This window comes from Homo sapiens, chromosome 17 (assembly GCF_000001405.40).
Source record: "Homo sapiens chromosome 17, GRCh38.p14 Primary Assembly".
NCBI lineage: Eukaryota > Metazoa > Chordata > Mammalia > Primates > Hominidae > Homo > Homo sapiens.
The window spans coordinates 37,453,728-37,466,422 of NC_000017.11; the positions used below are offsets into that span (position 1 = coordinate 37,453,728).

The 12,695-nt window shown below is 42.5% G+C and overlaps 1 protein-coding gene and 1 pseudogene across 13 annotated transcripts in view, besides 3 other annotated features; both read left to right on the forward strand.

The window, feature by feature from the left end:
• The window catches only part of TADA2A (transcriptional adaptor 2A), a 72,840-nt gene that overhangs the window by 46,842 nt on the left and 13,303 nt on the right, over positions 1–12,695 (forward strand). For 11 of the 13 annotated variants that reach the window (NM_001166105.3, XM_017024982.1, XM_017024981.2 and 8 more), the window contains 3 exons: positions 4,797–4,860; positions 8,351–8,394; positions 11,704–11,814. In NM_001166105.3, coding sequence (NP_001159577.2) covers positions 4,797–4,860; positions 8,351–8,394; positions 11,704–11,814 — 219 coding nt within the window. Of the gene's footprint in view, positions 1–4,796; positions 4,861–8,350; positions 8,395–11,703; positions 11,929–12,695 lie in introns of those variants that run through there. The other 2 variants (NM_001291918.2, NM_133439.4) reach the window with 1 other exon arrangement.
• LOC100419621 (ribosomal protein L24 pseudogene) lies at positions 429–1,246 on the forward strand (annotated as a pseudogene).
• Positions 668–1,245: an enhancer, noted in NCBI's record as "NANOG hESC enhancer chr17:35814497-35815074 (GRCh37/hg19 assembly coordinates)". NCBI's record gives its function as "activates a minimal SCP1, AML or CMV promoter by ChIP-STARR-seq in primed H9 embryonic stem cells {active_cell/tissue: H9 hESC(primed)}" and the evidence as "EXISTENCE:reporter gene assay evidence [ECO:0000049][PMID:30033119]".
• Positions 1,762–2,263: an enhancer, noted in NCBI's record as "NANOG-H3K4me1 hESC enhancer chr17:35815591-35816092 (GRCh37/hg19 assembly coordinates)". NCBI's record gives its function as "activates a minimal SCP1, AML or CMV promoter by ChIP-STARR-seq in naive H9 embryonic stem cells {active_cell/tissue: H9 hESC(naive)}" and the evidence as "EXISTENCE:reporter gene assay evidence [ECO:0000049][PMID:30033119]".
• Positions 5,165–5,365: a silencer, noted in NCBI's record as "peak2830 fragment used in MPRA reporter construct". NCBI's record gives its function as "represses an SCP1 promoter by STARR-seq MPRAs in K562 erythroleukemia cells {active_cell/tissue: K562}" and the evidence as "EXISTENCE:reporter gene assay evidence [ECO:0000049][PMID:32103011]".

The window sequence follows — 12,695 nt, forward strand, 5'->3', positions numbered from 1 at the left end:
TGGATTGAAGCTTACTACCTTGAAATAACTGATTTTTTTTTTTTTTTTTTTTTTTTTTTTGAGACAGAGTTTTACTCTTGTTGCCCAGGCTGGAGTGCAGTGGTGTGATCTCGGCTCACTGCAACCTCTGCCTTCTGGGTTCAAGAGATTCTCCTGCCTCAGCCTCCTGAGTAGCTGGGATTACAGGTGTCCGCTACCACACCCAGCTAATTTTTTGTATTTTTTAGTAGAGACAGGGTTTCACCATGTTGGCCAGGCTGGTCTTGAACTCCTTGACCTCAGGTGATCCACCCACCTCGGCCTCCCAAAGTGCTGGGATTAGAGGCGTGAGCCATCGTGCCTGGCTGAAAGAACTGATTCTAATACGTAGCCAAATTCTTTGTTACAAAGGTTGGTATGTTATTAGAAATTACCTAACATTGAGCCTCTGGAGCTTCTGCCCTGAAAGTTGAGCTATGCAGTTTCAGCAGGTACAAGATCTACCCCAGACACAAGAGGCGCTATGCCAGGACCGATGGGAAGGTTTTCTAGTTCCTTAGTGCAAAATGCGAGGGCATTACTTTCTTTCTTTCTTTTTTTTTTTTTTTTTTTGGAGTCTTGCTCTGTTGCCCAGGCTGGAGTGCAGTGGCGTGATCTCGGCTTACTGCCATCTCCGCCTCCCGCGTTCAAGCAATTCTCTGCCTCAGCCTCCTGAGTAGCTGGGATTACAGGCGCCTGCTACCACATCCGGCTAATTTTTGTATTTTTAGTAGAGACAGGGTTTCACCTTGTTGGCCAGGCTGGTCTTGAATTCCTGACCTCATGATCCACCTGCCTCGGCCTCCCAAAGTGCTGGGATTATAGGCGTGAGCCACTGTGCCTGGCCAAGGGCATTCCTTTCTAAGGAATCCTTAGCAAATAAACTGGTCCTCTACAGAAGAAAGCATAAAAAAGGGACACTTGGAAGAAATTCAAAAGAAAAGAACCTGCTGAGCAGTCAAATTCCAGAAGGCCATTACTGGTGCATCTCTTGCTAATATAGTGGCCAAGAGGAATGAGAAACATGAAGTTAAAAAGGCTCAATGAAAACAAGCTAGCAGGGCTGCTAAGGAAGCAAAAAAGGCTAAGCTAGCATCTGAAAAGACCGCAATGGCTGCTGCTAAGGCAGCATCTACACAAAAGATGGTGAAGCCTGTGAAAGTGTCAGCTCCCCGAGGTGGTTCAAAACACCAAGTTGGCAGATCAGATTCTTAAAGATTGGACTGTAGAAAAATATAAATTATATTACCTAACATTTGAATAACGTATTTTAGTTTTTCAGAGGACACGTGGCAGGTTATATTGTGCTATAGAGCCTCTTCCACAAATACATTCAGTAATTAAAACAAAAAACACCAAACTCTCAACTTACACAAAGCTTAATTGATAACTTATTAAGAAAATTTCAGATTCTATTGCAATCATTCAATCTCAAGGTGCTTTCAGGATCCATAAGTGAGAAGAAAGGTTTAATGTAGCATAGTGCCAAGTTTTGCATTACTCATATTTTCTTCTAGCGTTGTTACTATCTGGCATTCATTTCTTAACCCTAGAGGTCTTCTGGTTATTAAAAAAAAAAAAAAAACCTGTGGGAGTTTTTTGCTTCTGAAGTTTGTTTTTTTGTTTGTTTGTTTGTTTGTTTGTTTGTTTTTTTGAGACGGAGTCTCACTCTGTCGCCCAGGCTGGAGTGCAGTGGCGTGATCTCGGTTCACTGCAAGCTCTGCCTCCCGGGTTCAGGCCATTCTGCTGCCTCAGCCTCCTGAGTAGCTGGGACTACAGGCGCCCGCCACCATGCCAGGCTAATTTTTTATATTTTTAGTAGAGATGGGGTTTCACCATGTTAGCCAGGATGGTCTTGAGCTCCTGACCTTGTGACCCACCTGCCTCGGCCTCCCAAAGTGCTGGGATCAGAGGCATGAGCCACTGCGCCTGGCCGCTTACGAGGTTTTTTAAAATACACATTTCATTTTCAATTAAGGCAGATTTAGAATATAGCATAAACACAGAGAAAGTAAACATTTAGACAATTTCAGTGTTTTTCCTACTTAATACTCTGGAACCAGACTGCTTATTTTTGGATCCCTGCTGTGTACTTAACAGCTGTGTGATCTTGGGCCATTTGTTTTGTATGCATGGTGTATAGGGCATATGCGGGAGTGATAGGAAACAAGAATGGGGCCGGGTGCAGTAGTTCACGCCTGTAATTCCAGCACTTCGAGAGGCCAAAGTGGGTGGATTACTTGAGGTTAGGAGTTTAAGACCAGCCTGGCCAATATGGCGAAACCCTGTCTCTACTAAAAATACAAAAATTAGCCAGGCATGGTGGCGCACACCTGTAATCCCAGCTACTTGGGAGACTGAGGCAGGAGAATCCCTTGAACCCGGGAGGCAGAGGTTGCAGTGAGCCAAGCGCCCCTGCACTCCAGCCTGGGCAACAGAGCGAGACTCCATCTCAAAAAAAGAAATGAGTCGAAAGGTAGGCGTAATCAAGACAATAAATAGTCTTGTGTAACATGCAAGAGTTTGAACTGTACGTGGATGGGAAGCCACTGAAGAATTATAAGCAAGGGAATTACACCATTACATTGTGCTTTAAAATATTTTTCAAGTACCATTTGGAAGAGGTGAGTTACAGTAAGGCAAGAATGGAGTCGATAAGTGAGTAATGATGCCTCTCCTACAAGATAGCATGAAGATGACAGGAGAGACAAGATGCCTGAGCTAGGGAATAGGATTAGGGATGAAGGGATGAATTTGAGAGATGTAAGCGTTAAGTGCAGTGTGGCTAAGACTCATCGACTATGGAGGAGAAGGAGGAAGAATCCAGATTGAGTTCTGTCTTGGATAGCTATCTTTACTCTGATGCAGTTATCCAATATAGGAGTTTTAGAGGATAGGAAAGGGGTAGAATATAAGTTTGCAACTGAAGGGCATGTGAGTAAATTATATGCAGTAGGAACTGGAGCTTAAAATAGATATCGAGTTTGAAATTATGCATTTTGATGGTACTTGGACCCATAGAAGTAGAGGAATTTATAGGACTAAGGTGAGGGGTAAAAAGGAATTAGAACAGAATCTTTGGAACTCTGAAGATGGAAAGAGTGGCTAGGGAAAGAAAGAACCAGAACTATTACACTGATAAAACTTTTACTATTTACAGCCTCTTTCCTCCTTCTTCCCTGTGTCTTTAACATGAGACTAAAGCCAGGAAAGGATTGGGTCCCAGGAAACCAAGCAGGGCTTTTACACTGGTTAGGATACTTGATGGAACTTTTCACTACAGAATGCAAAACTCTACACTCTAAACAGTTGCTGCTCCCCAACTGAAAACTCCTACTCTGGGAAAATGTCTACACTGTACCTTTATTCACATTAGTCTTGCCTTGACATTGTCTGTTACTCCTGTGCAGTTATGACCACAATCATTATTCTTTTTTTTTTTTTTTTTTTTTTGAGACGGAGTCTTGCAGCAATGCCCTGGCTGGAATGTAGTGGTGCCATCTCGGCTCACTGCAACCTCTGCTTCCCAGGTTCAAGCAACTGTCCTGCCTCAGCCTCCCGAGTAGCTGGGACTACAGGCACTTGCCACCACGCCCAGCCAATATTTGTATTTTTAGTAAAGACATGGTTTCACCATATTGGCCAGGCTGATCTTGAACTCCTGACCTCAAGTGATCCATCCATTTCAGTCTTACAAAGTGCTGGGATTACAGGTGTGAGCCACTGTGCCCAACCAACATTAATTCTTTTTTTTTTTTTTTTTTTTTTTTGAGACGAGTCTCGCTCTGTTGCCCCAGGCTGGAGTGTAGTGGCATGATCTCGGCTCACTGCAACCTCACCTCCTGGCTTTGAACGATTCTCCCACCTCAGCCTCCCGAGTAGCTGGGATTACAGGTAACTGCTATCATGCCCAGCTAATTTTTGTATTTTTATAGAGATGGGGTTTCACCGTGTTGGCCAGGCTGGTCTTGAACTCCTGACCTCAGGTGATTTGCCTGTCTCAGCCTCCCAAAGTGCTGGAATTACAGGTGTGAACCACCACGCCCAGCCCAATATTCATTCTTATGAGTACTCTGATGCAATTTCTAGCCCATGTATTACCAAAGATCAGATATTCACTATATATAGTAATAGTTACATAACAATGTCCAAAAAAGGTGTTTAATAGAAAGGAGAATTTTTTTTAACTTTTATTTTAAATTCAGGGGTACATATGCAGGTATATTGCATAGGTAAACTTGTATCATAGGGTTTGTTATACCGATTATTGCATCATCCAGGTATTAAGCCTGGTACCCATTAGTTATTTTTCCTGATCCTCTCCCTCCTCCCACCCTCCACCCTCTGATAGGCCCTAGTGTGTGTTGTTCCCCTCTATGTGTCCGTGTGTTCTCATCATTTAGCTCCCGCTTATAAGTGAGAACATGTGGTATTTGGTTTTCTGTTCCTGTGTTAGTTTGCTAAGGATAATGGCCTCTAGCTCCATTCATGTCCTGGCAAAGGACATGATCTTATTCATTTTTCTGACTGCAGAAAGCAGAATTTATAATCTGAGTAATGCCATAAGATATATAAATAGCGGAAAAATAACTTTACTTATTGATAGACAAATTCTTTATGCTGGAATATTTTTATGTTTTCTAGACTAGTGAGTGTGGAGTAATTAGCAATATGAGGTTCAAAGTTTGGGTAAAAGATTTATTTTTGTCTTGGTTTTATTTATTTATATAATATATATATGATATGTATATATAGTATATGTATGAATTTATTTGTAGCTCTGAAGATGGCTGTGGTAGATATCTATCATTCCAGGTTAAAGGAGAGACAAAGACGAAAAAAGTAAGTATAAAAAACCATCCTGGCCTCCTTTCAGCTTTGGATTATTGTTTTGTGTGTGTGTGTGTGTGTGTGTGTGTGTGTGTGTGTCTGTGTCTGTGTCTGTGAGAGAGGCAAGGTCTCACTCTGTTGCCCAGGCTGGAGAGCAGCAGCACAATAATGGCTCACTGCAGCCTCAACCTCTCAGGCTCAATTGATTCTCCCACCTCAGCCTCCTGAGCATGTGGGACTACAGCAGTGCGCCACCATGCCTGGCTAATTTTTTGTATTTTTTGTAGATACGGGGTTTTGCTGTGTTGGCCAGGCTGGTCTCAAACTCCTGGACTTAAGTGATCCTCCCTCCTCAGCTCCCAAAGTGTTAGGATTGCAGGCATGAGCCACTGTGCCTGGCCTCAGCTTTGAGTGATTGACCACATATAGTCCATGAGAGAATGCTCCACTTGTGACTCATCTTTTGACCTTGGAGAAGACTCTTACCCTCCTTAGACCTCAATTTTTCCTTCTCTCAATTGAGGATAGTAATTCCTGTGTTATTTTTATATCCTCTGCCCTTATCCTTTATTGACGTTATGATGAACAATGAATAATATGGGTACACTGTTTTAAGCTATTTGAAGTAAAAGAACAAGATAAAATAAAGGCATCAAGACAGTATTGTTACACTTTTTTTTTTTTAATATTTGTGAATCATTCTTTGCTTTTGTCTTTTTTTTTTTGAGATGGAGTCTCGTTCTGTCACCCAGGATGGAGTGCAGTGGCGTGATCTCAGCTCACTGCAAGTTCTGCCTCCTGGGTTCATGTGATTCTCCAGCCTCAGCCTCCCAAGTGGCTGGGACTATAGGTGTGCACCACCACGCCTGGCTAATTTTTGCATTTTTAATAGAGATGGAGTTTTGCCATGTTGTCCAGGCTGGTCTTGAACTCCCCACCTTAAGTGATCCATCCCCCTCTGCCTCCCAAAGTGCTGGGATTACAGGCGTGAGCCACCGTGTTCAACCTTTTTTTTTTTTTGTTAAATAAGAGACAGAGTCTCACACTTACTCTGTCACCCAGGCTGGAGTGCAGTGTCACTATCATGGCTCACTGCAGTCTCCAACTCCTGGGCTCAAACAATCCTCCCACCTCAGCCTCCCAAGTAGTTAGGACTACAGGTGCGCACCACCACACTTGGCTAATTTTAAAACCTTTTTCTTTTTTTAGACTGGGCGCGGTGGCTCACACCTGTAATCCCAGCACTTTGGGAGGCCGAGGCTGGTGGATCACCTGAGGTCAGGAGTTCAAGACCAGCCTGACCAACATGGTGAAACCCTGTCTCTACTAAAAATACAAAAATTAGCTGGGGGTGGTGGTGCATGCCTGTAGTCCAAGCTACTCGGGAGGCTGAGGCAGGAGAATTGCTTGAACCTGGGAGACGGAGGTTGCAGTGAGCCAAGATCACACCACTGCACTCCAGCCTGGGCGACAGGGTGAGACTCCGTCTCAAAAAAGAAAAAAAACCTTTTTTTTTTTTTTTGAGACAGGGTCTCACAATGTTGCCTGGGCTGGTCCTGAACTCCTAGACTCAAGGCATCCTACTGCCTTGGCCTCCCAGAGTGCTGGAATTACAGGTGTGAGCCACTGCACTCGGACTGTTAGGCTTTTTTATTTTATTTTTATTTTTTATTTTATTATTATTACTTTTGAGATGGTCTTGCTCCGTCACCCAGGCTGGAGTGTAATGGCGCGATCTCAGCTCACTGCAGCGTCTGCCTCCTGAGTTCAAGCAATTATCGTGCCTCAGCCTCCCAAGAAGCTGGGACTACAGGCACGTGCCATCATGCCCAGCTAATTTTTTATTTTTAGTAGAGACACAGTTTCCCCATGTTGGCCAGGCTGGTCTCAAACTCCAGGCCTCAGGTGATCCGCCCACCTCAGCCTCCCAAAGTGCTGGGATTACAGGCATGAGCCACTGCCCCCAGCCCTATTGTGCTTTTTTAATGTTCTCTTTCTAACTGTTCATTTTTTAATGAGAAGTCTTTCATCTAAAAGGATTTCAAAGAAATTCTGAACAAGTTTCAGGCATACTGGTTCTTCCTCTCTTTGCAACATATCAAAAAGTATACATTCAGACTTAGAAATTATGGATCTCAGACCTCTGTTGGTTTCAGAGAAGAGTATGCAGAGGGTATAAGTGTGCATGTGTGTGTATGTATGTGTAGGCATGTATTTACTGTGATGTTACTAACTGTAGACACAGTGATATCTCAGCAATAAAAAGGAGAGAAGCCAGGTGTGGTAGCATGAACCTCTGGTCCTAGCTACTTGGGAGGCTAAGGTGAGAGGATGACTTGAGCCTAGGAGTTCAAGGCCAGTCTGGGCAACCTAGGAAAACCCCATCTCTTAAAAAAAAAAGCAAAAGAAAAAAAAGGGACTTGAGATTCACTCTGGAGGAACTAAGATGTGATCTAAAGCAGCAGTCCTCAACCTTTTTGGCATCAGGGAGTGGTTTCATGGAAGACTGTTTTTCCATGGATGGCTGGGGGCAGGAATGGTTTTGGGATGAAACTGTTCCACCTCAGATCATCAGGTATTGGTTAGATTCTCATAAGGAGCACACATCCTAGATCCTCCACGTGAGCAGTTCACAATAGGGATCGCGCTCCTGTGAGAATCTAATGCTGCCGCTCCTCTGACAGGAGGCAGAGTTCAGACGGTAAAGCTGCTCACCTGCTGTGCAGCCTGGTTCCTAACTGGTCCATGGCCCAGGGGTTGGGAACTCCTGATCTAAAGTAAAACTTACTCTCTGCATGTCTGGAGTTAGCTTCCATGAAATGCTGAAGAAGCATACCCAGTTGCTCCTATGAGAAGCTTCATTGCTAGTTATGAATACCTCTGGTATAAATCAGATTCAAGACACATAACTTTGCCTGGTTTAAATTCTCTTTTGCTTAAAACACAATTCGAGCTAGAGAGTACTGTAGAACTCAGTTGCTGATGTTGCTATCAAATCTTTTGTTTTATAATGCCCTTTCATTAAACATGCACAATATTTATTTCTAGTACCGCCAGTGTTGTGTGAATGCACAGTTGAAAATGTTGAATATGTGATCATGGTGCCCTTTAGCAGATTTCTCTAAAATGGCTGTTCTCAATTATTTCCACAAGCTGAATAGATTAACTTTATGACATGGACAGAGATTCCTTTCGGTTTCATCTTAAGTGACAGACATGTGTTTTTCAGCATTTGTGAGTGGTTATTGATTGATTCATTCGTTCAGCAAATAGTCATGGAGAGTCTACTATGCCCAACAAGAGGAAAAACCCGTGATGCCTGAGAGTCTAAAATTGGGTTAGTGATTCACTGACCTGCAGAAATTTGTGGGAGTGACTTCTTTGGACCTCTGTATTGTATTCCACCTCAGCATGTTTATGTCTGATGATAGCTATATGTGTAAAGCATTAGTAAATGTGAAAATAATTCTAATGCACAAATTATTGTGGCTTTTCATTCTAGAATTATAAGAGACCATGGATTAATCAACCTTAGAAAGTTTCAATGTAAGTATTAGCAGTTTTCTTTATTTTACAATTTTTTTCCAATATTATTGAATAATTTTAAATAAATCACGTATTGTAGTTCTTAATCCAAGTTGCATATTAGCCTGGCTATCACTCCAGACTAATGAAGTAAGAATCTCTGGGGTTGGAGGCACAGCACCTGCATTTTTAAAAAGTCTTCAGGGCAATTCTGATCCATAGTGAGAGTTTAAAGTATTAATTTGGGGCCAGGCGCGGTGGCTCTTGCCTGTAATCCCAGCACTTTGGGAGGCTGAGGTGGGCAGATCACGAGGTCAGGAGATCAAGACCATCCTGGCTAACATGGTGAAACCCCATCTCTACTAAAAATACAAAAAAAAAATTAGCCAGGCGTGGCGGCATGCACCTGCAATCCCAGCTACTCAGGAGGCTGAGGCAGGAGAATCACTTGAACCCAGGAGGTAAAGGTTGCAGTGAGCCGAGATCACGCCAGTGCACTCCAGCCTGGGCGATAGAGCAAGACTTAGTCTCAAAAATAAATAAATAAATAAGCAAATAAATAAATGTATTAATTTGTAGTCAATAAAACTTGTATTAAAATTCTTTTTTAAAAATTTGTATAGTAATTACAGTGTGAATATTAATGAATAATTTTCTGGATAGAGTCATGTTTTGCAACTATGTGTTAAGCATAACATAACCTTAATCTTCAGGTTGTAAAAATATTTTAGATAAATAACAGAAAGTGATCTTTATTTTGGATGGTTATAGACAGACAAAATAAATGATATTTAATATTATATGACGGTGATAAAAATACATATAGTGATTTTTAAAATAAATGCCACCTTTGACCTTACTGTGGTTTTTTGTTGTTGTTTGTTTTTTAAGAGACAGGTTCTTGCACTGTTGCCCAGGATGGAGTGCAGTGGTGTGATGGTATCTTGCTGCAGCCTTGAACTCCTGGGTGCAAGTGATCCTCCCACCTCAGCCTCCTTATTACAGGCTCGAGCTATCGTGCCTGGCCTTTATTATTTTAAATATCAGAGATACCTAAGCAGGGCAGAAAAAGTCCCTGTACTTTTTCTTCTTCCACAACATAGAGGCTTCCACAACTAAGAAGGATGATGTCATAATAACAATCACAATGTTTGTATTAAAATATTTGTAATAGTTGTGTGTCATAATATTCTTTTTTTGTAAAGAATAACCTAATGGTTAGGTTTGTACAATAACCTAATGGTTATTGTAAAACATCCCAGTTGATAGATTCTTGTAGGGGTATTTATTTAATAATATATAGCATCGTAGGGTTCAGTCAACAAGGTTAAGTGTCTTTTTAGTGTAAATAAATATCTAGCCAGGCATGGTGGCTTGCACCTATAATCCCAGCTACTTGGGAGGCTGAGGCAGCGGATCACTTGAGCCCAGGAGTTCAAGGCTGCAGTGAGCTATAATCATGTCACTGCACTCCAGCCTGGGCAACAGAAAATCTATATTTTTTAAAAATATAGCCATCATCATAAGTATGTTACATTTTAGGTCCTTTATTATTTATTTATTTTTTGAGACAGGGCCTCACTCCAGTTGTCCAGGCTGGAGTGCAGTGGCTCAGCTCACTGCAGTCTCCGCCTCCCAGGCTCAGGTGATTCTCCCACCTCAGCCTCCCAAGTAGCTCCATCTCTACTAAAAAATAAAAAAAATTAGCCAGGTGTGGTGGCAGGCGCCTGTAGTCCCAACTACTCAGGAGGCTGAGGCAGGAGAATCGCTTGAACCCGGGAGGCGGAGGTCGCAGTGAGCCAAGATCGTGCTACTGCTCTCCAGCCTGGGCGACACAGCGAGACTCCGTCTCAAAAAAAATAAAAAGGTAAGCTAGGAAAAAAAAAAATAGCTGTCATAAATGAAAGTCTGTATCGTTAGTCCAAGAGTAGATAGAACTAACCTAATTACTGATTGAAACGACCCAAGTAGCAGTTCGAGAGTTACTGACTGCTCCAATCTACCAGTTATTGTTAGTCAGTTTTACTCTCCATCTTCTTTGCAGATACATCTTTGGATTAGTTGTTTGGTCAGTAGTGATCCCCAGAGTTGCTGCTCTGGTGTCTCTGCATGATATTTGCATGACAGTTGTCAAATAAAACTTCATTAGCAGTAAATTAAGTTGTAGTAGTTAATTTAGTTTGGAGAAAGGCAAAATGACCCATATGAAGGATGAAAAAAATACTTACCTTGCTTGAGGATGTGTAGGTGGGACATGCAAGAAATCACACTTTTTCTCAGCTAATGGGAAATCTTCTGGATGGATTATTTTGTCTGTAGCTTCTTTGTTTTCCTGTGGGAGTTAATACCATAAATTTTGGCCATAATTCTTCCTAAGAATGTAAGATCTGCCTTTAATTGTCTCGTCCATTACTGCCAGCAGTTCCTGCCCCTGTGTAGTTTAAAAGACAGTGAGGTGGCCGGGCGCGGTGGCTCACACCTGTAATCCTAGCACTTTGGGAGGCCGAGGCGAGCAGATTGCCTGAGCTCAGTAGTTCAAGACCAGCCTGGCCAACATGGTGAAACCTCGTCTCTACTAAAATACAAAAAATTAGTCGAGCATGGCGGTGTGCCTGTAATCCCAGCTACTTGGGAGGCTGAGACAGGAAAATTGCTTGAACCTGGGGAGGCAGAGGTTACAGTGAGCTGAGATCACACCACTGCACTCCAGCCTGGGCCACAGAGCAAGACTCCATCTCAAAAAAAAAAAAAAAGACAGTGAGGTGGCTGGGCGCGGTGGCTCATGCATGTAATCCCAGCACTTTGGGAGGCCGAGGCGGGTGGATCACCTGAGGTCAAGAGTTCAAGACCAGCCTGGCCAATGTGGTGAAATTCCGTCTCTACTAAAAATTCAAAAATTAGCTGGGTGTAGTGGCGGGCGCCTGTAATCCCAGCTACTTTGGGAGGTTGAGGTAGGAGAATTGCTTGAATCCAGGAGATGGAGGTTGCAGTGCGCCGAGATCACCCCAACGCACTCCAGCCTGGGAGACAGAGCGAGACTCCATCTCAAAAAAAAAAAAGACAGTAGATGTGGGAGATGAGTAGTGCTCAGTGGTGGAGATGATCTCCAGTGTTAACAACATCCCTGTGGGATAGTTGCTATGGTGCTGTCATTATGATTAGTGTTTTGCATTCTTGGCTTTCCTGTTTGCTTCCTGTCATGGATAAGTTAGTCATATGAGGTTATGAATAATGTTCTTCCATTTTACTAATTGTAAAAAAAAAAAAATGCTGAAAACTCAGGGATCCTTACATTTCCCATGACACATTTATGTTTTATTTTCTCTGTAGTAATGGAACGGCGGTATCCCAAGGAGGTCCAGGACCTGTATGAAACAATGAGGCGATTTGCAAGAATTGTGGGGCCAGTGGAACATGACAAATTCATTGAAAGCCATGCATGTAGGTGGTTTTTGAGCCTTGAGCAGTATTTGTGTGTGTATATTTATATAAATAGGAGAGATAATGGTGTGTTTTATGTGAAGTTCTATAAATAAATAAATGGATATTTCTCTCTTTGTTCCCCTTTATTACCATGAGACAAATTTGGGACTATGGGGGTGGCAGAAGAGAGGTTAAAAAGCCCTAATGACTTCCCCCATTGCCCCAGATAAACAATAATTTAGTAGTTTTTCTCCCTACTTTGTATCATGGGAACTTTCAAATATATATAGAAGTAGAGATAATAATATGATGAACTCCCGTGTATCCATCATCCAGCTTCAGCAGTTTTCAACACATGGCCAGTCTGGTTTCATCTTTACCACTCACTCTTCCCTCCTGCCCTCAACTGGATTATTCTGAAGCAAATCCCAGACATCATTTTATTTTGTTCATAAATATTTTAGTATTAAAAGTAGTTTTAAAAATGAGGACAGAGATGGATAGCTTGTGGAGATAGTACTTCCATCGATCTCTTGCCTTTCTGTGGTATTTCTGTGAGAGCTCTACATAGTTACCATTTGATTTTTCACTATAAAAAATTAAAAGTTGTTATGAGGCCGGGCGTGGTGGCTCACACCTGTAATCCCAGCACTTTGGGAGGCCAAGGCAAGAGGATTGCTTGAGTCGAGGAGTTCGAGACCAATCTGGGCAACATAGTAAAACTCCATCTCTACAAAAATACAAAAGTTAGCCAGGCATGGTAGTGCACACCTGTAGTCTCAGCTACTTTGGAGGCTGAGGTGGGAGGATTGCTTGAACCCGGGTAGCCGAGGTTGCGGTGAGCTGAGATCACACCACTGCACTCCAGCCTGAGCGACAGAGTGAGACCCTGTTTCAAA